The sequence below is a fragment of the Homo sapiens genome, chromosome 6 (genome assembly GCF_000001405.40).
Source record: "Homo sapiens chromosome 6, GRCh38.p14 Primary Assembly".
Classification (NCBI taxonomy): Eukaryota; Metazoa; Chordata; class Mammalia; order Primates; family Hominidae; genus Homo; species Homo sapiens.
This window is the reverse complement of record NC_000006.12, coordinates 158,530,032-158,555,478: the sequence shown is the minus strand read 5'-3', so window position 1 is coordinate 158,555,478 and position 25,447 is coordinate 158,530,032. Positions and strand designations below refer to the sequence as shown.

The 25,447-nt window shown below is 47.5% G+C and overlaps 1 protein-coding gene across 7 annotated transcripts in view, besides 3 other annotated features; it reads right to left on the bottom strand.

Annotated features, from left to right (window-relative positions):
• TMEM181 (transmembrane protein 181) overlaps positions 1–18,839 on the bottom strand; it is a 98,790-nt gene extending 79,951 nt beyond the window's left edge. For all 7 annotated transcript variants that reach the window (NM_001376817.1, XM_011536000.2, NM_020823.2 and 4 more), the window contains exon 1: positions 18,614–18,839. In NM_001376817.1, the coding sequence (NP_001363746.1) occupies positions 18,614–18,744 (131 nt within the window). In that variant the 5' untranslated portion in view covers positions 18,745–18,839. The remainder of the gene's footprint in view (positions 1–18,613) is intronic.
• Positions 6,748–7,042: a silencer, noted in NCBI's record as "tiled region #807; HepG2 Repressive non-DNase unmatched - State 6:EnhF". NCBI's record gives its function as "represses a minimal TATA promoter and a strong SV40 promoter by Sharpr-MPRA in HepG2 cells {active_cell/tissue: HepG2}" and the evidence as "EXISTENCE:reporter gene assay evidence [ECO:0000049][PMID:27701403]".
• Positions 11,628–11,922: an enhancer, noted in NCBI's record as "tiled region #10808; HepG2 Activating DNase matched - State 8:EnhW, and K562 Activating non-DNase unmatched - State 20:ReprD". NCBI's record gives its function as "activates a minimal TATA promoter and a strong SV40 promoter by Sharpr-MPRA in HepG2 and K562 cells {active_cell/tissue: HepG2 | K562}" and the evidence as "EXISTENCE:reporter gene assay evidence [ECO:0000049][PMID:27701403]".
• Positions 18,108–18,402: an enhancer, noted in NCBI's record as "tiled region #4140; K562 Activating DNase matched - State 4:PromP". NCBI's record gives its function as "activates a minimal TATA promoter and a strong SV40 promoter by Sharpr-MPRA in K562 cells {active_cell/tissue: K562}" and the evidence as "EXISTENCE:reporter gene assay evidence [ECO:0000049][PMID:27701403]".
• Positions 18,840–25,447: the final 6,608 nt, after the last annotated feature.

Here is a 25,447-nt window from a genome sequence, read left to right as displayed (position 1 = left end):
GTTGAGATAAAACTCACTGCTTATGGCATTCCAGCCAAGATTTTTTAAACCAAAACCAACAACCTAGGCCTAAGGATCATCTCTTTTAAGGTTAATTTAGTTTTGCCTGACTAATAATTGTTTGGGGTAATGGAAGTTAGTTGAAGGATTGATAAAGAAAAAATTAGATAAATCTTCATAAAAGGCTCACAGATCAAACAAGTCAAAATCTTGAGCTCAGAGCAATAATATAAGGTGTCTCTGTCTGGCATAAAATTGCTTTTTCTGCCACACAGGGGCCAAAAAGAAAAAGCCAAACAAACACAGGAAGGAAACCCTGCTAACATTCTTCCCTGTTCACATTAACCAAGCAAACCAGATGGGCAAACAAAAGATACATTTGTTACTAGTTCAAGGCTCTTTGGAGAGTTTGTTTTCCTTATATAATTCAGCCAGTCCTAGCTAAAATGTAAACATTGAAAATGTAACCCTAAACTCATTTAAAGCTGAAAAAAGCAAAAGAGTGGGAGTAAAAGAGATTTTTAAAAACCAAACTGCTTTGTCCAAAATCTTCGCCCACCATCTTCATTAGATTACCTATCGGGGCAAATAAAGTTCAGACATGTGAACAGGTTTCAACTTTGTCAATAATACAATTTGGATCCAGCTGTGTTTTATTATCTTTTACTGTCTCATGACTAACATTCTAAAATGAAAGCTGTAAGATATTTCTGTGTGTGGATATTTGTTTCGGTGCATTTACACATGTACGTGTATTATGTTTTATGTTGTGTCTTCATGGTAAGATCTAGCATGGACCCTTAAATTCTATTCAGATTGGTTTAAATGAGCTTTCATATAAAATATAGTAAGTCCTGACTTAATGTTGTGAATAGGTTGTTGGAAACTGTGACTTTGAGCAAAACAATGTATAATGAAGCCAATTTTTTTCCTCATCAATGTTAAAATGAAACAGCATTGGCCAGGCGAAGTGGCTCACGCCTATAATCCTAGCACTTTGGGAGGCTGAGGCAGGTGGATCACCTGCGGTCAGGAGTTCGAGACCAGCCTGGCCAACATGGCAAAATCCCATCTCTACTAAAACTACAAAAATGGCCAGGCGCGGTGGCTCACGCCTGTAATCCCAGCACTTTGGGAGGCCAAGGTGAGCGGACTGCCTGAGGTCAAGAGTTCGAGATCAGCCTGACCGACATGGTGAAACCTCGTCTCTACTAAAAATACAAAAATTAGCCGGGCGTGGTGGCAGGCGCCTGTAATCCCAGCTGCTCGGGAGGCTGAGGCAGGAGAATCACTTGAACCTGGGAGGTGGAGGTTGCAGTGAGCCAAGACCGGGCCATTGTACTCCAGCCTGGGCAACAAAAGCGAAACTCCATCTCAAAAAATAAAATAAAATAAAATAAAAAAATTAGCCAGGCGTGGTGGCTGGCACCTGTAATCCCAGCTACTCGGGAGGATGAGGCAGGAGAATCACTTTAACCCGGGAGGTGGGGGTTCTGGCGAGCTGAGATGGTGCCATTACGCTCCAGCCTGGGCAACAGAGCAAAACTCCGTCTCAAAAAAAAAATAAAAATAATGAAACAGCATTGAACAAAGTGACATCATTTGAGGACCTGTTGGACGTTGTTTCACCCAGTCACAGTTTCCAAGAACCTACTAATGACATTAAGTGCCAACTTGCTCTCTATATTAATTAACCCGAATGCGTTTTAGTTCATGTGACTTAAGAATGTCTTTAATAAATAAACTAGCTTTTAAATTGTTGAAAAAAATAAAAATGTCTGCACAATTGCCAACATATTAATATACTGTTGCATGGGTTTTGTGGCAGACAGTTTTATATTGGTCTTCATTAGATGTTTTAAGGTATTAGGGTTTAGCACAAAGATTATAAAACTATAAACACAGCCTAAAATAAAATGATTTTTTGTACAACTCTTTGATAAGTAAGACTAATTTAATATTGTTGGTTTAATAAAAATAGCTGTATCTTCTGAGTTATTGACAAAATAACCATATATTTAAGGTTCTTAGGTGAACACCTGATATGCACAGGCTATAAAAATGGTTAACAGAGAAATAACTGATGACTAGCTTTGTCTAATATCTCAGTTTTAATAAGTAATCTAGGTATAATTGTTAAAAATAAATAAATTTTGTAAATGTAAATGGTATATGTGTTTATAAATAAGCTTTTTATGTAATTTAAAATCTTAAAGTTTTATGGTATGTTAAATTAAACAACAGATATTCATTAAATGTCTGGTTCATTTCCCAATTTTTTTTTTTTTCGGAGACAGGGACCCCTCTCTGTCGCCCAGGCTGGAGTGCAATGGCACAATCACAACTCATAGCAGCTTCGACCTCTCAGGCTCAAACAATCCTCCTGCCTCAGCCACCCATGTAACTGGAACCACAGGCACACACCACCACACCCGGCTAATTTTTTAATTGTTTTGCAGGACTGGGGTCTCACCATGTTGCCCAGGCTGGTCTCAAACTAGGCTCAAGTGATCCTCCCGCATCAGCCTCCGAAAGTGCTGGGATGACAGGCATGAGCCCCTGTGCCTGGCTGACAGTTTCTATTTCTGCCACATTTTTTCCTGAAAGCCACTTAATTTCTCTAGTTTCAAGACAGAAATGTTTTTTCATTCCGAATGGTAATTTCACTTCTTGAGGTAGAGTTTTCATTTTAAAGCTTCTCAGGTTCATCTCTCAGAAGCTCAACTTTGTTTCCATCTCACAGCCCATGACTGGCAGGTCACACATAACTGCCTACAGCTCTTTCTTCCCTGATAAGGCTGAGACGATAACTCTCTCCTTCAACCTTTTTATCAGCTCCTGTAACTTTTCCCTTCAGTTCTAACTCTGCTCTTATGGCCCAATGCTAAAATGTTTATCTTGAAGACCTGAAGCAGCAATCTTTTCCTCCAGTGTAACTTGATTCTGTACTCTTGGCTTTTCTTGATGTGTCTGAATTGTTCTATGTAACAAGGAAACTTCACAGGCTCTCACGTTCTCTAAGATCCATGTATTCCTCGCTCAATGTATTAGTTTTCTTGTGTATATTCCTCTGTGATATAGTGTATACTCAAAATCTTGAACACATTCTTCCTGCTTCTGATTAAATGTAAGTACCTTTCATCAGGTTCAACTTCCAAGATATCTAAGTGGGCTTCCCATAAGGAAAAGCAATCACACTGCAGGAGGTGCAATCACACTGCAGGAGGTTTTTCTTCACCTTTTGGTAACTGGCCTAAAAAAAACAAAGGATTTATATTTTATTAGGATAACTTCCTGTGTTATCTCAATTCGATTTTTGATTACTCAGGAAAACTGAACTTTAAAAGGGTTAAGCTTTTTAAATTTCGCATGCCTTTCTGTATTGCTTTTAAAATCTTTCGATTACCACTCTGCTTAAATAACTATTATTTCACGGTGAGCTGTGATCCTGTCTTGAGCAAGGACTGTAAACTTTTTGACATCTTTGGCAGGCCTCCCCAGGATCAAAATTCTAAATTAAATCTTTTGACCTAAAATTAACTTGGGAATTTACCAGTTAGGCCCCTGGAGAGCATAAAAACTGTATCTGTCATATCATCTCATAGTGATAGGAAATGATTAGGCTTACTTGCTCCATAGGAAACTTTGTCAGGTGATCAGTGATAGCAGCTCTTCTTTCAATTACATTTATGGATATGTTATCAATACAAATGTTTCAAAAATTAGATAATACATTATCAATCATATTTTACGTGTTATGTTAAATCTACTTTAAAGCTATATTTTTAGAGATATGTTATTGATGTATCTTAAAGATTATGTAAAATTTGTAAAAGTCGAATGGTCCTGATGTGATGCTGTCAGTCATGATTCTGGTTGCCATCTTAAAACATTGTGTGTAATAGAAATAACTACATTTCCTTGGCAATTCCCGATTATAATAAATGTTTGTCAGGTTCTTAACCCTGGCTATCCTGTGTTTTGTCATCCACAGTTATTGTTTTGATTTGTCCCTTAAAACATTTACAATTAGCTATACTCCAAAATGGCTTTTCATGGAAAAGACCCTAACAAGTACTCTTGAACACATTTCTAGTAACTGTAGGACCAGTGGATTAAATAAAATTCCCACAACTCTAATAAATAAACTGACAGGTTTATGAAACTGCTAATTCAGATCAAGCAGAACAAAAATTAATTGCATAAAATTAAATAATTGAGCCGGGCACAGTGGTTCACACCTGTAATCCCAGCACTTTGGGAGGCCGAGGCAGGCGGATCACGAGGTCAGGAGATTGAGACCCTTCTGGCCAACATGGTGAAACCCCGTCTCTACTAAAAACACAAAAAAATTAGCTGGATGTGGTGGTGCATGCCTGCAGTCCCAGCTACTCGGGAGGCTGAGGCAGGAGAATCACTTGAACCAGGAGTTGGAATTTGCAGTGAGCCGAGATTGCACCACTGCACTCCAGCTTGGCAACAGAGAGAAACTCTGTCTAAAAAAAAAAAAAAGGAATTGATAAAGATAATGTTTGTATGATTTTTATTTAAAACATTATTGGTTCTTTTTTTTTTTTTTTTTTTTTCCTGAGACAGAGTCTCACTCTCACCCAGGCTGGAGTGCTATAATACACTATAAAAACTATAAATGGTAGCTCTGTGCATTAGCTTCAAGTTCTAGTTATTTGCCTGTAGACTAGGCTAGGTCCTGAATTCTTCTAGATTTCTCCAATCCAACTTTGTTCCATGAAATTACTAAAATTGGGGACTACTCTGTTCCTAAGACCTGTAAAATGAAACTACGTATTTTTTTTTCTTTTTTTTGAGACGGAGTCTCACTCTATCACGAGGCTAGAGTGCAGTGGCGCCATCTCGGCTCATTGCAACCTCCACCTCCCAAGTTCAAGCAATTATCTTGCCTCAGCCTCCCGAGTAGCTGAGACTACAGGTAAGCGACACCACGCCCAGCTAATTTTTCTATTTTCAGTAGAGATGGGGCTTCACCATGTTGGTCAGGATGGTCTCGATCTCTTGACCTTGTGATCCGCCAGCCACGGCCTCCCAAAGTGCTGGGATTACAGGCATGAGCCACCGCGCCCGGCTGAAACTAGATACATTTTAAGAAACAAGTCTCGGCCGGGCGTGGTGGCTCACGCCTGTGATCTCAGCACTTTGGGAGGCCATGGCGGGCAGATCACCTGAGGTCAGGAGTTCGAGACCAGCCTGACCAACATGGTGAAACCCTGTCTCTTAGCCTCACAGCCAGTCCCTTCAAAGCTCCCTTGTTGCCCAAATGTGGCTGAAAGGGTTTTGACACTGACTCCTGGCCACTATTCACGCCCTCCAACATGGGACCAGACCAGCAACCCAAGACAGGTCCATCCAAGCACGGAGGGACATCAAAACCTAACTACAGGATGATTGATCAGTGATGCTTTTGGAGAAAGATCTTGATCAAAAGAGGGAATGGGAAAATTATCAGAATCAAAGTGGAGTCACTTGTGTTAAAAAAAAAAAAAAAAAAAAGTCCTGACAAATAGGTTGGGGAAGGCCATGAAGAGGAGTCTTATGCACTTACGCATAAATGCCTAGTAACAAAAACTATCACAAAAGACTCTACAAAAACCACAACGTTGCATAAAGGCCGTCACCACCTTACATACAAAAAATACTCCTGCAACAACACCTGCCCAGCCACTGCCAGTCCAACCTCAAATTGGCATCACCCTTGTTATTGATCCTTGTAGCCAAAAATAATTATCTCAAAGCAATTATGTAATCCTCTTCATTTTTCCTTTAAAAACCTTTGTCTTCCTTTACCGCCCTGACTACGCACAGAGCTTACTGTGGAATGCCTATTCCCACTGCAATGCTTTGCTCCCAAATAAATATTATTTTTGAGAGCCGCTCTCTTGTTTGTTATTTAGGCTGACACCACCATAGTCTTGAAGTCTGTAAACAACCATGTTTGCATTCTCTCCTTTCTTCATTTCCAAAGGTGAGATAATCATGCACAGAACATTCTGAATCACTTGAAAGTCTACTACTATATGTTAAGAAGTGTAGGCCAGGCACAGTGGCTCACACCTGTGATCCCAGTACTTTGGGAGGCCAAGGCGGGTGGATCACGACGTCAGGAGTTCGAGACCAGCCTGGCCAATATGGTGAAACCCCGTCTCTACTAAAAATACAAAAATCAGCCGGGCATAGTGGCGCACCTGTAGTCCCAGCTACTCAGGAGGCTGAGGCAGAAGAATTGCTTGAACCCGGGAGGCGGAGGTTGCAGTGAGCCGTGATCGCGCCACTGGGCTCCAGCCTGGGCAACAGAGAGAGACCCTGTCTCAAAAAAAAAAAAAAAAAAAAAAAAAGAAGTGTGCACATTTTCCCTCATTTTGTCCCCTTTGCCACCATTAAAGCAAATGCCCTATTTTCTGTGGCCCCTGCTGGTTTCTGGAATTTACAATAACAAAGCCTGGTGAGTAGAGCAGGCCCCTCCCTGCCTCTCTGGCACAGCAAGGCCATCACTCACAAGCCCCGGGTACTGACCAGGAAGGAGGCACCAGCCTCCCAACACCCTTCACCTTCTCTGCCTTGGGTGGTTTTTAAGTATCAGTCCCAAGCTATCAAACCGAAACACGTATTTTATTTTCAATGTTTGAGCAGCGCCTCTCCATCATTGTCTCCTATGACTTCACCGTGCAAGCCTTTATTCGTCCTCCTCTTTCCAGGACCTGGCACCCAGCCTGGTAGAGAAAGACACCAAGCCCCTGTGTGTTGAACAAATGACTGCCCTGGGCTTGCTGGCTGCCTCACAATAAGACACCCATTTCCTCATTGTTTAGAGAATGAGGACACCATCCCTTGGAACAAAGGAAGGGAGCTGGAGGGCCAGTGAGCGCAGGACTGGAGGTGGCAGCTGAGAGCATTCCTGCCACCTGGCCAGAGCAGCTGGCTGATTCTGGTTTGCCTGAGACTTTCCAAGTATGAGCACTGAAAGTCCCTGTCCTGAAGACGCCCTCAGTCCCAGACAAACCAGGATCGTTGGCCACCCTCCTTCTGGCCCATGTTTTTCTATGAGTTACCGGGCAAGATTATCTCAACATTTAAAGAATGTCTTAGCAGCTGGGTTCCCTCAAACACAGAACCTAGAGCAATAGTTTCCATGTCAATTTTACTGGGAGTGGTACAATCCCAGGGAAGGAAGGAGAGAGGATGGAGTCAGACAGGAGGTTGGAGAGTACGTTTCAGAGGGTGCACGTGGGCCAGAGCTTCGGGACAAACACGGCTGGTTTATTTCCAAACTACTGTGTTCGGAAACAATCTGTTAGCTCTGTCTAGTCACTGTCACCCTTGGCCAAAGTCTGACCTACACATCCAGGTGATGTTACCTGGCCCTCAAGCAGCCCTGGGGAGCCAGGCCTGTGGCTGCCAGTTCAGTCAGCGTGGGGCGAAGGAGCCCCCATGTCAGTCAGCACCAAAGCAGCTCTTTGGTCTGTGGGGTGGAAGGGGCAGAGGCTGGGAACTGCTTCTCTCCATGGCTTTCACCAACTTATTTGTCAGGACTCTTTTTTTTTTTTTTTTTTTTTTTTTTGAGACAGAGTTTTGCTCTTGTTGCCCAGGCCGGAGTGCAATGGCGTGATATCGACTCACCGCAACTTCTGGGGCCTGCACCAGGAGGTCAGGTCGGGAGGCAAGGCCAGGGACCAGTGGCCCGGGGGCAGGGTGGGAGACGGGAGGTGGATATGGGCAGGACCAAGGGGGCCTGGGGGGCCTGTCAACTAGATCCAGTGCAAAGAGGTGGAGAAGGTCTGGAATCGTTGTTACAAAGTCTGGAGAAATGAGCAGCCTGGGAAAAGCTAGCAGGATTTCAGGGCTTCGCTGAGGCCCCAGCTGAGGGGGGAGACCCTGTGTCAATGGTGACTTCCAAGAGCGCCTGCCTGGTGGCACTTTCCTCCTGCTGAATGGGTGGCGTAAGCATGAGAGTATTTGTACTGATCAGAGACTGGGAGCCCCAGGACAGATGAGACGAAAAGACAGAGAAGCAAACTAGTTTAAGACAGTGGGTCTCAGTATCTGCAGAAGCTAGAATCACCTGGGGAGCTTTAAAAAAAACCCAGTGCTCAGGCTAAACCCCAAACCAACTGAGGCAGATCTGAAGCAGGGCTTAGGCGTCTGTATTTCTGTATTTATTTATTTAGAGACAGGGTCTCACTCTGTTGCCCAGGCTGAAGTGCAGTGGCACAATCATGGTTCACTGCAGCCTCGAGTTCCCAGGCTCAGATAACCCTCCCACCTCAGCTTCCTAAGTAGCTGGGACTACAGGCACATGCCACCACGGCCAGCTAATTCCTGTGTTTTTTGTAGAGATGAAGCGTCGCCATGTTGGCCAGGCTGGTCTTGAACTCCTGATCTCAAGTGATCTGCCCACCTCAGCCTCCCAAAGTGCTGGGATTACAGGCGTGTGCCACTGCGCCCAGCTGGCATCAGTATTCTTTATTTGTTTGTTTGTTTTTGTTTTTGAGATGGAGTCTCGCTGTGTCGCCCAGGCTGGAGTGCAGTGGTGCAATCTCGGCTCACTGCAACCTCCACCTCCCGGGTTCAAATGATTCTCCGGCCTCAGCCTCACAAGCAGCTGGGACTACAGGCGCCCACCACCACGCCCTGCTAATTTTTGTATTTTTAGTAGAGATGGGGTTTCACACCATATTGGCCAGGCTGGTCTCGAACTCCTGACCCTTGTGATCCGCCCACCTGGGCCTCCCAAAGTGCTGGGATTACAGGTGTGCGCCATCGCGCCTGGCTGGCATCAGTATTTTTAAAGCTCCCTAAGGGATTCTAGTGTACAGTAAATTTGATAACCCACAGTTCAGGGCATTGGCAAGAGAGATCTAGAAGATGAACCCATGGAATCCATGCCACATCAGCTCCTTCCTGGGGTTCAGTTTCAGCTCCAACTCCTTCCTGGGGTTCAGTTTCAGCTCCAGCTCCTTCCTGGGGTTCAGTTCTATTTTTGCCCTTTGGTCTGTGAATGATCCCTGTATTCTCGTCATGTGTACCCTTTTTGGCTGAAACTAATACTTGCAACCAATGGTCTTAAATGCTGTAGTGCCATATCTTTATAAAGTGCCTATCAATGCCTCTAGCTGTCCCTGACATAGCTGCCAATGATGAGAACTACAGCAAAGTTCTAATATGTTCTCATTCCTACTGCAGCCTGAGGGGAGGGTATTTGGTTTTGCATTTCCGCTTGCAGAAGCTGAGGACAGTCTCCACTGGAAGAACACGGGTTCTGGAGCTCCCAGCTTGTCACCACGAGGCAGGAGCATGCTTGACCTTTCCAGATGGAATAGGAAGTAATCTCTGTCAGCCTGAATCCTAAACTGGGGGCTCTGTTCACCGAAGAGCATGGGTTTATACATCAGAAACACTGCCCCGGTCATGCCAGATAGATAAGCCAGGGAAACTGGTCATTATCTTCACTTACGAGCAAAACTCCGTCTTTAAGTCCTCACAAGACTTGAAGGCTGAAAGTCAACAGTAAACAACCAAGATTACTTTGCTGGATGTACTCCACCATGAACAAACACAGCGCAGAGGGCACTTTCCTAGCCATGGGGGTGTATTAAAAAGAATGGGAAGCCAGAGCTCCAGTTATTCAGGAGGCTGAGGTGGGAGAATCAGAATCACTTGAGCCCAGAAGTTCGAGACTGTAGTGCACCATGACTGCACTATGAGGAGCCACTGCACTCCAACCTGGGCAACGTAGTGAGACCCCATCTCTAAAAAACAAGACAACCACCACCAAAAAAAAAAAAACTAAAAAAGAATGGAAAGAGTGCAGCCATGCCCCCTTACAGCATGTTTCCAAGTTCTGTCCGGTTCCTTCATGCCCCAGAAGGCAGAGAAGGCAGGACAACGCCCACCCGCCACGTGCCCCTGCATCCCACAGCAGCTGGAAAAGCGGGCGGCGTTGCTCATGACGAGCCTGCCTCACGCCTTCAGAGCTCTGCTCCCAGAGGCAGGCGATCAGCCCTTCGCTCAAGCTGCTTCCTATGTAGCAAAACAAGCGCTGCTCCAGCGAGATCCGTCACTTGCCACGACTTTCCAAGTCAGGACAAGGCCAGGGGAGGCCAGTCCCAGGCACGTGATGATTCTGTGCCGTTGTGGGTCCCAGGGTCGCAAATAAATCCTCTGCTAGGGCCTTGAACATGCAGAACAATGGGGCTTTGTCCTGATTTCCTAAGTGTGGCCTAAACCTCACAACTCCAGTAAACATGGGGTAAGGAAGAAAGCGGGGTGTAGCGGGAACGCTGGTGCAGAAACGTTCGGAGTAGGCATAGCAGTGCCCTGCAGCCCACGGCTGAGCAAGCCGCAGGGGAACGGGGCCTGGAGAGCTGCCTGGCCCCTGAGCGGTGGGCAGCATCCTCTCCCTGTGCGGCTCTAAGGTGCCAGCTTCCTAAACCGTCACCCCGGGGCGTTTTCCTTTTAGGGTAGTCTTGCCAGGGCATTTTCACGTTGAAATGCATGCTATTTCTTATAAATTACTTTTCTTTCATTGCTTGTTCAGAAGACATTTAGGGTAATTTAATTTTTTTAAGTTATGGAAGCATGTATGACGTTCTCAAGGAATTTCATTTCGGGATAGGAAAAGAGGGACTACAACATAGTCCCTGTTATAAAAAGAGCAGGAGGGAGTTCTCCTCTGAGAAGCACAGCCCTGAGGCGTGGGCAGGCCTTACAGGGAGCTGTCCATTGAGCAGGGGAGGGGGTGATGAAGACTGAGCCAAGAAGAGCAAGAGAACCAGCCAGCCGGAAGGAAGGCGGGAAGACCAAGACCCCAGAGCGCAAGAGCTCAGGGGTTTGCCCCGAGGCTCATGGAAGGGAATGCCACTGAGGCTGAAGAAATTGGGGAAATGAGCGCCCCGTCCCTTTCTGCACTGTTCAGCTAGCTTTCAGCCGCCTTCTGCCCGCTACGTGACCGTGATACCCCAGCACACACACACTACCCCAGCAGACGGCTCATCTGTCTTGAGTCTCCAACCCTGCCTCACCCAGCCTGGCTTAACCTGGAGTGGCTCCTTGTGTCCTGATCCACCTTTAGGTTGACCAACCATCCTGATTTTTCTGGGACGGAGGGGTTTCCTGGAACACTAGACTTTCAAGCCAGGATGCGCTGAGCACCATATCTCTGACCCAACAGCTCCTGAGCTAGGCCAGAGCCTGTTTCCTCTGCCTTCATTGCATACTCTCCCTCACCCCAACACACACACACACACACACACACACACACACACACTCTCTCCAATTTGCACCTGAGAAACCTCAGGCAACTCAGGTGACACAGTGAAGGTTTCAGACACCTCTGCCGGGGAGACGGAGCCACCCTGATCCAGACACAGCTGCACTATCAGTCTGCTATCTCCGTTTTAGAGCCAGGAGGGATCTGAGATCATCCTATAAGATGTGCAGACCCGATTTCCAATAAGCACAGCGGCCGATCTAAGCCAGGACCTGCCTAGTCCTCCTGACTCTTGTTCATCAAGCATTCGGCTGCTACGCTTAGAAAATATTGGCAGAGAGGAGCCAAAATCCATAGCCCTGTATCAACACATGAGCTGTTCTTTTCAAGGAAAGCCTGTTATGGTGTGGCTTGTGTCCCCAAAAAGATGCTGAAGTCCTAACCCCCAGTGCCTGTGAACGTGGCCTTATTTGGTGATAAGGCCTTGGCAGACGAGCAAGCTAAAATGAGGTCATTAAGGCGGGCCCTAAATCCAGTGTGACTGATGTCCTTATAAAAAGGGGAGATTTGGACACAAACACACATAGAAGGAAGACGATGTGAAGACACAGGGAGATGATAGACATCTACAAGCCAAGCCTGAAGCTACCAGAAGCCGGAGAAAAGGCCTGGGACAGAATGTCCCTCAGGAGGAGACAACTCTGCCAACACCTGGATTTCGGACTTCTGGCCTTAGAACCAGGAGACGATACATCCCTGTTGCTTGAGCCCTGCAGGCTGTGGTGTTTTCTTACCGCAGCCCTAGAAGGCGGCTCCAGAGCCCCAGCTTCCATATCTGGGGAACGAGGTCCACTTCAAGCTTCAGGTGTTCCACCAGACTTGAGGCCTGTCCTCCTCTGGCAAAGGATGGTCTTTCAGTTGCCAGAACTGCGTCATCCTTCCAGCCGGATGATGACCAGGAAGAACAGATGGGATGCTTATACCTGCTCTGCTATCCAGGAAATTATATCTTTATTTTTTCCTCTCAATTCAGAGCGAGACGTGGCTTAAATAAACATACTCTGAGGCCAGGCGAGGTGGCTCACACCTGTAATCCCAGCACTTTGGGAGGCTGAGGCAAGCAGACCACGAGGTCAGGAGATCGAAACTATCCTGGCTAACACGGTAAAACCTCATCTCTACTAAAAATACAAAAAATTAGCCAGGCGTGGTGGCACGCACCTGTAGTCCCAGCTACTCGGGAGGCTGAAGCAGGAGAATCATTTGAACCTGGGAGGTGGAGGTTGCAGTGAGCTGAGATCACGCCACTGCACTCCAGCCTGGGTGACTGAGCAAAACTCTGTCTCAAAAAAAAAAAAAAAAAAAAAAAAACCACTCTGGAGGCCGAGGCAGGCAGATTCCGAGGTCAGCAGTTCGAGACCAGCCTGGGCAACATGGTGAAACCCCTTCTCTACTAAAAATACAAAAATTAGCCAGGTGTGGTGGTCCACGCATGTAGTCCCAGCTACTCAGGAGGCTGAGGCACAAGAATTGCTTGAACCCAGGAGGTGTAGGTTGTAGTGAGCCGAGGTCACGTCACTGCATTCTAGCCTGGGCAACAGAGCAAGACTCTGCCTCAAAAACAAACAACAAAAAGAAACCCACACTCTGCTGTATGGGCAATAGCTCCGCTTACCCCAAGGTACACAAAGAAATAATTAAGCCTAGGTAAACACCAGGAAGAGCTCTGGTAAGTGCATACGATACAGACTTGGGTTTGAATTCTGGTTCTAAAGTGCAACCTCGAACAAGTTACTTGGTCTTGCTAGACTTCATTTTCCTCTGAGGGTTGTCGGGAAGATTATATAAGATGATGCATGTAAACACTTGGTCCAGTACTCAGTACATAGTAAGGACTCAATAACGGAGTAACAACTTTAGTATCTGACAAAATATAATTCAAGAGATGTCCATTATAGACATAAAAATGCCCAATACTATACGTGAGATTCAGAATATGTTAGCCTCTGGCTGTGTGATTAAAAGAATATCTAGGCCGGGTGCAGTGGCTCACACTTGTAATCCCTGCAATTTGGGAGGCCAAGGTGGGCGGATCGCTTGAGGTCAGGGGTTCGAGACCAGCCTGGGCATCATGATGAAGCCCCATCTCTACTAAAAAAAACAAAAATTAGCCACGCATAGTGGCGCATGCCTGTAATCTCAGCTACTTGGGAGGCTGAGCCAGGAGAATCGCTTGAACCCGGGAGGTGGAGGTTGCAATGAGCTGAGATCAGGCCACTGCACTCCAGCCTTTAGTAACAGAGCAAGACTCCATCTCAAAAAAAAAAAAAAAAAAAAAAAAGATAAAATCCCAGTCTCATCAGGGACACTCACTGTCTCCTCCCACCAAAAAAAGAAACAAAAGACAGAGTTGTCAGTCAATAGTTACACTGAGGTGTACCCAATAACTTGAAAACAAGGAGAAAAGATGAGGCCCTCTGATATGCTTACATCAAAATCAGTACAGATGCGTCAGGAAATAACGTTGGCCTTAAATAAAAAACATGGCTCCCAGACCTTTAAACCTGAATGTAACCTGATCAAAGGTGTCAAAGCAGAAAGGACGGTTGGCCAGCATGGAGGCGTGGAAACGGAACATGAGCCAAGGTGAGCTGACAGCAGTCACTGAGCTTTGTGTGGGGAGAGGGAGACGTGGCGCCTGGCTGCCAATACTGCCACCCATTGGAAAATCCATCAGAGGAGGAGATGGGTGCCCCAGGGTGTCTCCACCTGCTGCTCTAAGATAATTCTTTTGTTTTTTGTTTTTTGTTTTTTTGTTTTTTGAGATGGAGTCTCGCTCTTGTCGCCCAGGCTGGAGTGCAATGGCATGATCTCAACTCACTGCAACCCCTGCCTCCCTGGTTCAAGCGATTCTCCTGCCTCAGCCTCCTGAGTAACTGGGATTACAGGCGCCCGCCATCACGCCCTGCTAATTTTTGTTTTTTTTAGTAGAGATGGAGTTTCGCCACGTTGGCCAGGCTGGTCTCGAACTCCTGACCTCAAGTGATCCGCCCCCATCAGCCTCCCAAAGTGCTAGGATTACAGGCATGAGCCACCACACCCGGCCTGCTCCAAGATATTTCACTCACCCCTCATGGCTCTCCATCCTGGCAGAGATCCAGCCCAGGTCAATTACATTAGAATCCTCAAGGATGGGACCTGGGCATCTTTGTTTTTAAAAGCTCCCTCACATCCTTGAGCTCAGAAGTTCAAAACCAGCCTGGGCAACATAGTGAGACCTCGTCTCTACGAAAAAATTCAAATGAACAAAAATATTAGTTGGGTATGGTGGTGCATGCCTGTAGTACCAGCTACCTGGGAGGCTGCGGGAGAGGAGTCGAGGAGGTCAAGGCTGCAGTGAGCCATGACCACACCACTGCACTCCAGCCTTGGTGACAGGGGTGAGACTCTCTCTCTCAAAAAAAAGAAACAGCTCCTTCAGATGATTCTGATGTGCAGCCAGCACTGCGAATCCTGATCTTACCAATTCCCCCAGGGTTCAAGCGATTCTCATGCCTCAGCCTCCGAAGTAACTGGGATCACAGGCATGCACCACCACGCCCAGCTAAGTTTTGTATTTTTTGTAGAGATGGGCTTTCACTACGTTGCTCAGGCTGGTCTCCAATTCCTGGGCTCAAGTGATCTGCCTGCCTTGGCCTCCCAAAGTGCTGGGATTACAGGCACGAGCCACCGCGCTCTGCTACCTTTGTCCATTCTACTATTTTTTAGTATCTGGCTACTTTCCAGTTTAGGAGTATTACAACCTGTGCTGTTAGGAACACTTTTTAGTACGTCTTCTGATGGCCCCATGTATGCATTTCTGCAGGGCATATACCCGACAGCAAATGCTGGGCCTGAGGAAATGTGTATGTTCAACTTTAGTAGCTGCTTGCCAAGTGGTTTTCCATAATGATTATAGCAATTTACCCTCCCATCCGCAGTGCGTGAACATTCCATGTCCTTGTTACCATTTTGGTGGGGTGTAGATACGGAGATTCAAGGAGTTTTCTGTAGACTTCAAGTTATTCTTTTTCTTTTAGAGACAGCCATAGAAAGCCAGCCAGCTTCCCCCATGAATATGAATGAGAAGCAGTAGCCCAAATGATTATCAGCAGCCAATTGCTATCAAGTTAAAAAGAAAGAACTTGATTACATCATTAAGCTGCCGAATCAGCAACCCAATTCATTCCCTTATTGTTTAGACTGGTTCGCTGTGGTTTTTCTGTTATGTGTATCTGAAAACATCTTTAGTGCTCTCTTCATAAAGTGTCTGAGTCTTATGAAAATCCGTGTGAAGAGGGTTTCTTTATCCTGATGTGGAAACGGATTGTCCAGTGAAATGCAATTAACTCACCACAAGGCCCGGCAGTTAGCAAGGAGTGGAACTGGGGCTAGAACCAGGATTTCAGATCCCTGGCCTATTGTTTTACCACCTTCCCTCTCCTGACAGGCAGTACAACTGTCACCTCTCATTTTGTGAAAATCGCCAAGAGTCCTTTGATCACATAGCTGCAGCTCTTCACTGATGCCAAATTATGTAGCAAATATGCAAACAGCCATGCTGCTGAACAGAGGGGCCAATCATGTTTTGTAAACGGAGCTTTAGCAGCTGTGTTCTTTGCTTCGCCCTGTTATGAGAAAACTGCCAACCACGTGAGGTGAGTCCCCGGTCCTCCAGGGGAAAGAGCTGGTGCGTTTTACTCATAAACCACCAATAAGGAAATGAAGACGGTGAGAAGAGAAGGAGCCAAAATCACAGTAGCAATTTCACCTTCCAGCTAGACAGATGCGGAGCTGTAACTAGCAGCTTCCCAACTTAGAAACCCGAGTATTTCACCTAGTTTTGTACAGCGACAATCCATTGATATAAAAATTCAATGGAGCTACTCAAGATAGTTCAGTGATCTAAAACATCTTCTCACTATAAAACAGACTTTGTGATTCAGCCTAACTGCCCTGTCTATACAAAATATTGTAAAGTACTCTGCAGTCAACTTGTGCTCATGGCGGGGGGCGGGGCAGAATCCATCACTGATCACTTCCAACCGCTGTGAATCTGTCTTCAAGCTCCAACTCAACTAAGGAAGTGGCTCCTGGAGCAAAGACTCAAATGCTTGCTGTAGTACAGGCAGCCAAATTGCTGATGTCACTTGTCCCGTGTAAAATCCTCTAGTGGCTTCACACTGCAGTCCCAGTGAAATCCACATTCCTTAGTCTGACCTTCAAGGCTCTTCAGGGCCTGGCCCAGCCTCTCTCTCTGACCACAGTGCTCCAGGCTCGCTGGTCTTCCATCTGTGCCTTGAACATTTCATGTTTTTATGGCCTCAGGGACTTTGCAATACTCCTTCCTCTTCTGGGAGTTTCCTCCCTGCCTCCTTGTCTGGTTAGCTCCTCATTTTTCAGTTCTCAGACAAATGTCACTTTCAAGATGAGCCTCACCTGACTACCTTCTGTGTGGCAGCACCCTGTCAGTCTCTCATGTCACTTGGTTTATTATCTGTAAGCCCCAGGAGAGCAGAGACCCTGTCTTGCTCACCGCTGTATTCACAACGCCTAGAACAACAGCAGGAACATAAAAAATGCTCAGTAACTACCAGGTGAATACATTGGTCAGTGAATAAAGATGGAGATTAACCACTGGGGTGTGTTCTCTTCTCGACTATTTGCACTGCGATCATTCCACTTTCACTAGCTGTGTTGCCAAAGAAATATTCCCAAGAAAAGAAAATACAGGAAAAAAAAAAAAGGCCAGGCATGGTGGCTCACGCCTGTCATCTCAGTACTTTGGGAGGCCAAGGTGGGAGCATCACTTGAGCCCAGGAGTTTGAGACCAGCCTGGGCAAGACAGGGAAATTCCATCTCTAAACAAAATATAAAAATCAGGTGATGGGGCACAGGCCTGTGGTCCCAGCTACTCAGGAGGCTGAGGTAGAAGGATTGCTTGGTTGAGCCAGGGAAGTGGAGGATGCAGTGAGCCAAGATTGCACCACTGCACTCCAGCCTGGGCGACAGGGCAAGACCCTGTCTCAATAAATAAATAAATAGGAAAAAAAAAAACAGAGTAGGGGGCGGGGGACGGGGGACTAGCAGAAAAGGAGATTGGAAATAATCTTATTTAACAAGTATGATATGAAACTGTGGATTCTTTTCCCATACCCTCAGGTCTTCCAGGAGGCTGCATTAGACAGATTTCCAGGCTCGCCCCAAAGCTACATCACATGATTTTTTACATTTGTTTAAAATGGGCTTTTTCACTCAGTAACCATGACCACGGTCCCGCTGCGTTGCTGATTAGCCCGTGGGAAGGCATTAGGTTTTTTAACAGATGTGAGGATAAGTGTGACACGCCTTTTTCTGAGCAGGTACCTATGATGAGTACAGGATAGGTCTTAGAAAAATGACCACCCGTTCCCCATAGCAGTGCGACACCCTCGCCATCCTTAGCACAGAGTGAGTAAATCATGATTAAACCTCAGCTTTCTGAGACCTTCTGGTTCAGACTTCCCATTTAACAGATGGGGAAGGTTGAGGTGGGGGGGTGAGGGAGCTTTCTACCGACTCGCGATAGGGTCCTGTCCCGACACCGCCAAGCCTTTGGGTAAATCGGCCATTGGCGGTGAACAGACTTTCCTTCCCCTCCGAACTGCAGAGCGCAGAGAGGAAGGGGGCGGGGGCCGGCGCCAGGGTCTGCAGTCCCCACCGCTCTCCCCTAGGCCGCTGAAGAGGGAGACAGAGATGAACGCAAACAAGTTCCACACAGCCGCTCCCAGGCGCCGTGTCCCCGCATGGCGCCCCGCCGCGTCTTCCCCGCCGCGCCCATCCGCCCCCAGCCCTTGGCGGCGCCCCCGCCTCCGAGGCGTCCTGCAAAGCCTAGGGCGCTCAGAGCTGCGGCCAAGACCCTCCTCCCGACGCCGCAGCGCGCGCGGTCGCCTCCCCAGACTGCGCCGCGTGAGGCCCGAGCGGGGGCGGCGAGGCGGGCGCGGGGGGAGAACGACGCGGGGCGCAGGGAGGAGCCACAACCCGCAGCTCCTTTCCGGGGAGGCGGGAGCCTCGGCTTGGGTTTCAGCTGAACGGAAATCGGCCCTTCGCCCGGGGGCGCCGGGCTGCCCTGAATCCAGGAACCTGCCCGCCGCTGCCAGTATCCCTGCTCCCCGTCCCCTTCCTGGTCCCTCCCAGATCCCCGCCCCGACCCCGTCCCCATCCGTAGGCTCCGCGCCCGGCCGGCGGAGGCGGCCGTCGGCGGGACCAGGCCAAGGCCGGGGCGCGCCGGGGTCCCGGAGGGGACTGCGGCCCGGAAGCCTCCGGCCGCCCCGCCGCTGCCCGCGCCGCGCCCACCTGTAGTAGCGGTCATCCTTGAAGGGCGTGAGGTCCTCCTTGAGCTCGCGGTACGCTTCCCGCAGCCGCCGGCACAGGTGCTTGAGCTCGCTGCAGAGCGGGGGCTCAAAGGCAGGGTACTCGGCGTCCATGCCGCGCAGCCTCCCGGGTCCCGGTCCCGCCGCTCCACCCTTTGTGTCGCCGCCTGCGCCCCCTCTCTTCTCCCAGCACTGGGGATCGGGCTGCTGGCGCGCTGGGCGGGACCGAGGAGGAGGAGCAGGTGCGGGGGAGGTGGTGAGGGGGCGCGCAGGACTCGGACCCAGTGCGCTCAGGGCTCCGCCGCGAGCACGCGAGGAGCTGGACACGGCGCGGGTGGGGGCTGGGGGACCCGGCCCCCCGCCCCGTGAAGAGGCCTGAGTGGGGGAGGGAGCCGCGCCCATCCGCCTCCGCGCCCATCCGCCGCCGCCCCGGGAGAGGCAGAAGGCGGGGGAGGAAGTGCAACACAAGGTCGTCTGCCGCCCAGGACAAAAATCTCAGTGCCGCCCTCGCCATTGGCAGCGCTGGGAAGGGAAGACACTGGAGGTGGGAGCACGAAGGAAAATGGTGCTTGGGGGCGGACCGAAGGCCCTTTCCTGCTGGGGAGGTCAAAGGCTGAAGCCGGCTACCGCGTTCAGCACCGCGGACAGCTCCCGCGGGCGACTTCTGGCTTCTTGGGCTCCACTTGGCCGAATGCAGAAACATTTAAAACTAAGCCCATTAGGGTTATAGTCATAATAAATATTATTTTTAAATGAAGTGTGTCCAAGTGAGGTGCTTCTTCCCACATGTACTAAAACCACCAAAAAAAGTCTAGGCAGAGGAGTTTCTCACCTTCTACAAGCTCAACACTAGTGTGCAAACTATAGTTAACCAGTTAACACGTCTTCTACGGAATGGCTTCTCCAAAGCGTGGTGTGATCTCCTCTTGTGAATTTTTCCAATAATAGGTGGAAAAACAGTCTTTCCAGACGATGTTAGTGCATTTCCAACTGAACCCAGGGCAGGTTTCCACGCAAGGTTGATCCTGCCTGCACTGGGGGAAACCTCTTACTTTTAGGGACAAAACCTACACAATTGAACCTAAATAATTGTGGAATATCGATCCCAGGAATCTGTATTTGTCCAAACTCCACAGGCAAGTCTAATGACCACTCAGGTGCCAGTGGTCTCAGCATTCCCATGTTTCCTGCTGTCTGTGCCTACTCTGTCACTCCACCCACTCTTCCTTGCTCTGTATTTTTATTCCCTCCCTTTACATTTTGGAACAGCTTTTGTATGCTAGCCAGGCTCCCTATCAGGGCTTGCACATCTTCCCATAACTGCTGATCATCTTGCATTGCGCACAGTTAGGTTTTAGCCTTAATTCATTAACATGAGCATTTGTGTTTAATCATCTCAGTATTTTTTTTTTTTGAGACGGAGTCTCGCTCTGTCGCCCAGGTCGGACTGCGGACTGCAGTGGCGCAATCTCGGCTCACTGCAAGCTCCGCTTCCCGGGTTCACGCCATTCTCCTGCCTCAGCCTCCCGAGTAGCTGGGACTACAGGCGCCCGCCACCGTGCCCGGCTAATTTTTTGTATTTTTAGTAGAGACGGGGTTTCACCTTGTTAGCCAGGATGGTCTCGATCTCCTGACCTCATGATCCACCCGCCTCGGCCTCCCAAAGTGCTGGGATTACAGGCGTGAGCCACCGCGCCCGGCCTCAGTATTTTTTTTTTAAAGAGCTCAGGTTTGGTAATATTCAAAATATAGTGCATCAAGAGCCGCACTAAGAAGAACTTCAGAGAACACACATGCAGATTTGTTTTCTGAAATGAGAGAGACTGTGAGTTCAGCATGTGCCATATTTTAAACATTGTATCATTGGCTACAGAGAGCTTATTTTTAGGAGGTATATAGGCCAATCTCCAAGATACATCAAAACACTTAAAAATCCTCTACGGAGCCTTCCTTAGCTTCTCAAGCCTAGTTTTTTTTCCTCCCTCTTTGAAGTACAGTAGCCCCTCGAGGATAATACACATCTGGCTCCAGCACTGTGAGGTACTAATCTATTTTGTCAGCTCTTTTACTACAAATCACTAGAAATTCGAGATAAAACACACACACACGGCCGGGAACGGTGGCTCATGCCTGTAATCCCAGCACTTTGGGAGGCCGAGGCAGGCAGGTCACGAGGTCAGGAGATCGAGACCATCCTGGCTAACATGGTGAAATCCCATCTCTACTAAAAATACAAAAAATTAGCCGGGCGAGGTGGCGGACGCCTGTAGTCCCAGCTACTTGGGAGGCTGAGGTAGGAGAATGGTGTGAACCTGGGAGGCAGAGCTTGCAGTGAGCCGAGATTGCGCCACTGCACTCCAGCCTGGGCGACAGAGCGAGACTCTGCCTCAAAAACACACACACACACACACACACACACACACACACACACACACACAGTGACTGTGCCTGTTATGCACAGCTGAGCCACATACTACAATTTCTTTTTTGTATATTTTATTTCCCATAGAATTAATGGTTGTCATTTTTATTGCTTGATTTTTAAATATACTTATTAATATAACCTCGGGTCCTGCACCAATTGTCTAATTTCTCTTTTAAGATACTCAGGTGCATGAGACAGCCTGTCAGCTTCACCTTTGTGAATGACAGCTCTCATGGGCCTTCTGACCAGCTGTAGAAAAAGTTATCTTCACACCCAGTGCATGGGTGCCTGGAGGGATCTCCCCACCATCATCCTGGTAATTATCTCCCCTCTGTTCTGTTTGAATCCCACATTTTCTATTTGCTGGTAGAAAATATCTTCTACAAGATTTTGAGAAAAGATGCATGGGATGCAAATTTTTTGAGGTTCTGGATGTAGGAAAATGTCATTCTTTTACACTTTCTTAATAGCTTGGCTAGGAATAAAAAATTTGGTTGGAAATAGATTTTTTTGTTTTGTTTTGTTTTTATTTGTGAGACGGAGTCTCGCTCTGTCGCCCAGGCTGGAGTGCAATGGTGCAATCTCGGCTCACTGCAACCTCTGCCTCCCTGGTTTAAGCAATTCTCCTGCCTCAGCCTCCCAAATAGCTGGGATTACAGGTGCTTGCCACCATGCCCGGCTAATTTTTGTATTTTTAGTAGAGATGGGGTTTCACCATGTTGGCCAGGCTGGTCTTGAACTCCTGACCTCAAGTGATCAGCCTTGGCCTCCCAAAGTGCTGGGATTACAGGCATGAGTCACTGCCCCCAGCAATCGGAAATAATTTACCTCTAAATTTTGTAGGTATTTTTCAATTGCCTCTTGGATTCTAGTATTGCTGTTGAGAAGTCCAAAGTCATTATAAATCCTGATTCACCTTACACAGACCAATTGTTTTTCTCTCTACAAGGGTATAAGAGCTTCATTTTGTCCACAGTGTAATGACATTTCAAGATTATGTTATACATTGGCCTAGACTTTTTTTCCTGACAATCTAAGTATTTCAGCTTGAATAAACTTTCTTGAGTTGTTTTTTTGATAATGTCCTTTCCTCTCATATTGTTGCTTTCATGTTTGTTATTTCTTTCTGGAACTCCTATTAATTGAAAGTTGGTCATCCTGAATTTGCCCTCTAATTTTTTTACTAGTTTTCATTTATTTTTCTGTTTCCTCCACTTTTGTTCATTATTTTTTGTTCATTATTTTCCAGTTCTTCTATTAAGATTTTCATTTCTACTATGATGCATTTTTTTTGTTTGTTTTTGTTTTTGTTTTTTGAGATGGAGTCTCGCTCTGTCCCCCAGTCTGGAGTGCAGTGGCGCGATCTCGGCTCACTGCAAGCTCTGCCTCCCGGGTTCACACCATTCTTCTGCCTCAGCCTCCCGAGTAGCTGGGACTACAGGCGCCTGCCACCATGCCTGGCTAATTTTGTTTTTGTATTTTTAGTAGAGACGGGGTTTCACCGTGTTAGCCAGGATGGTCTTGATCTCCTGACCTCATGATCTGCCCGCCTTGGCCTCCCAAAGTGCTGGGATTACAGGCATGAGCCACCGCGCCCGGCCACTATGATGCTTTTAATATCCAAGAGTTTTGATTAGTTCTCTGAATGATCCTATTCTTGTTTCATGGATACAATATCTTCTCTCTCAAGACTAATGATAATATTAAAATATTTCCTTCTCTGCCAGGCGCGGTGGCTCATGCTTGTAATCCCAACACTTTGGGAGGCCGAGGCGGGCGAATCACGAGGTCAGGAGTTCAAGACCAGCCTGACCAACATGGTGAAACCTTGTCTCTACTAAAAATAAAAAAATTAGCTGTGTGTGTGGTAGTGCCCACCTGTAATCCCAGCTACTGGGGAGGCTGAGGCAGGAGAATGGCTTGAACCTAGGAGGTGGAGGTTGCAGTGAGCCGAGATCATGCCACTGCACTCCAGCCTGGGTGACAGAGCAAGACTCCGTCTCAAAAAAAAAAAAAAAAGTCCTTTTCCCCTTATAATTTATTTCCTCTAACTTGTTCTTTAATGATTGTTTGTGTTTCTATCTTTCATGTTAGAAGTTTTCTTCAGATGTCCAGTATTTTGGTTGAATGCCCTCTTTACAAGTGGAGCACTAAAATCCTTGGAAACTCTGTATGTGTATGTGTGAGTGGGTGGGGGCGGTGGTTGACAGCAGGCTTTGTTGTGGGTAATATGGCTGAGCTAATTCCTTAGGGAACCCCTGGTATCAATATTGTTAGGTCTTTCCTCTTAGACTGGTGTCCAAAGGTCACCCACTTACAATGTGACTGTGCCACTCTTCCCATCAATCGGCAGAATCTTGAATCTGAGCTGGTTTTGTACCTTTCTTGGACAAGTAAAATGGGTTGGAAATTACACTGTATGTCTTCTGGTCCTAGGCTTCACAGGTATTATAACTTCTGTTTTCAGCATCTCAAAAGTCAGCCTCTGTGTAAAGAAGTGTGGATTTTCCTGTTGGAGAGACCATGTGGAGAGAGACCCTGGAGGATGAGAGGCTGTGTGGAGGAGACCAGAGATGTCCCTGTCCATAGCCAGCACCAACTGCTGGACATGTGAGCAAGGCCACTGTGAATGTTCCAGCCTCGGCCTGGCTCTCAGCTGAAGGCAAGCATGTGAATCATACTAGGGAGCAACATACAGGGAAGAGGAGATGCTCACTTAGGTCGAACAGACCAATTGGAATCATGATGTCGTTGAGGTTTGGGGTGAATAAGTTTGAGAGTGATTTGTTTTTCCACAATAGAAAACTGACACAACTGGCTCAGTTCTGTAGAGGATTCTTTCAGTTCCCACTGGACCGTGAAGGCCTGGTTGCCTGCATTCTGGAAGCAGAACAGAGGAAGACGGATGGCAGTTATCGGGGTGGTATAACATTAGTGACGTGTACAATTTTTTTTTTTTTTTTTGAGACAGAATTTCACTCTGTCGCCCAGGCTAGAGTGCAGTGGCGCGATCTCGGCTCACTGCAAGCTCTGCTTCCTGGGTTCACGCCATTCTCCTGCCTCAGCCTCCTGAGTAGCTGGGACTACAGGTGCCCGTCACCACGCCTGGCTAATTTTTTTGTATTTTTAGTAGAGACGGGATTTCACCTTGTTAGCCAGGATGGTCTCGATCTCCTGACCTCGTGATCTGCCCGCCTCAGCCTCCCAAAGTGCTGGGATTACAGGTGTCAGACACTGCACCCGGATTTTTTTTTTTAGTTTTGAAGACGGAGTCTTGCTCTGTCGCCCAGGCTGGAGTGCAGTGGCATGATCTCGGCTCACTGCAACCTCTGCCTCCCTGGTTCAAGCAATTCTTCTGCCTCAGCCTCCTGAGTAGCTAGGATTATAGTTCGCACCACCACACCTGGCTAATTTTTTTTTTTTTTTTTTTTTTTGAGATGGAGTTTCGCTCTTGTTGCCCAGGCTGGAGTGCAATGGTGTGATCTCACCTCACCGCAACCTCCGCCTCCCGGGTTCAAGCGATTCTCCTGCCTCAGCCTCCCGAGTAGCTGGGATTACAGGCGTCCACCATTGCGCCCAGCCTTAATTTTTGTATTTTTAGTAGACATGGGGTTTCACCATGTTGGCCAGGCTGGTCTCAAATGCCTGACCTCAGGTGATCCACCTGCCTCGGTCTCCCAAAGTGCTGGGATTACGGGGGTGATCCACAGCGCCCGGCCAATGTGTGCAATTTTTAGAATCTGGGTCTCACTCCGTTGCCCAGGCTGAAATGCAGGGGTGCAATCATAGGGCATTGCAGTCTCGAACTCCTGGGCTCAAGTGGTCCTTCTGCCTCAGCTTCTGGAGTAGCTGGGATTACAGCCACGTGCCACTACACCAGGCTAATTTTAAAATAAAATTTTTGTAGAGACAGAATCTCACTATGTTGCCCAGGCTGGTCTTGAACTTTTGGCGTCAAGCAATTCTCCCAACTCAGCCTCCTAAAGTGTTGGGATTACAGGCGTGAGCCACTGTGCCACACTTTAATTTTCTTTTAACCTTGATAAACATTTAATTAAATACCCATTATGTCCTAGGGAATTTTAGGTGCTGACAATTCAGAATTGAGCAAGAATCAGCTCCTGCCTTCTAGGAGTTTGCAGTCTAGTGGGAGACACACATGGTGAACAGATCCAAACAATGTGATTAAGTCTAGAAGACTATTCTGTCATTATGGTAAGATATTTTCACCAGGTTTAACCAAATCAGAGGAGCCACTCAGTTCCCTAGAGTCTTCAAGGCAGCTTTGTGATTGATGATGTCAAAGATTTCTTGTTAGTCCCTGTGGAGACCATTTGTGTTTGGAGACTGAGGTCTTGTAGCTTACTCAGAAACAGCCCCATTTCCCTGATT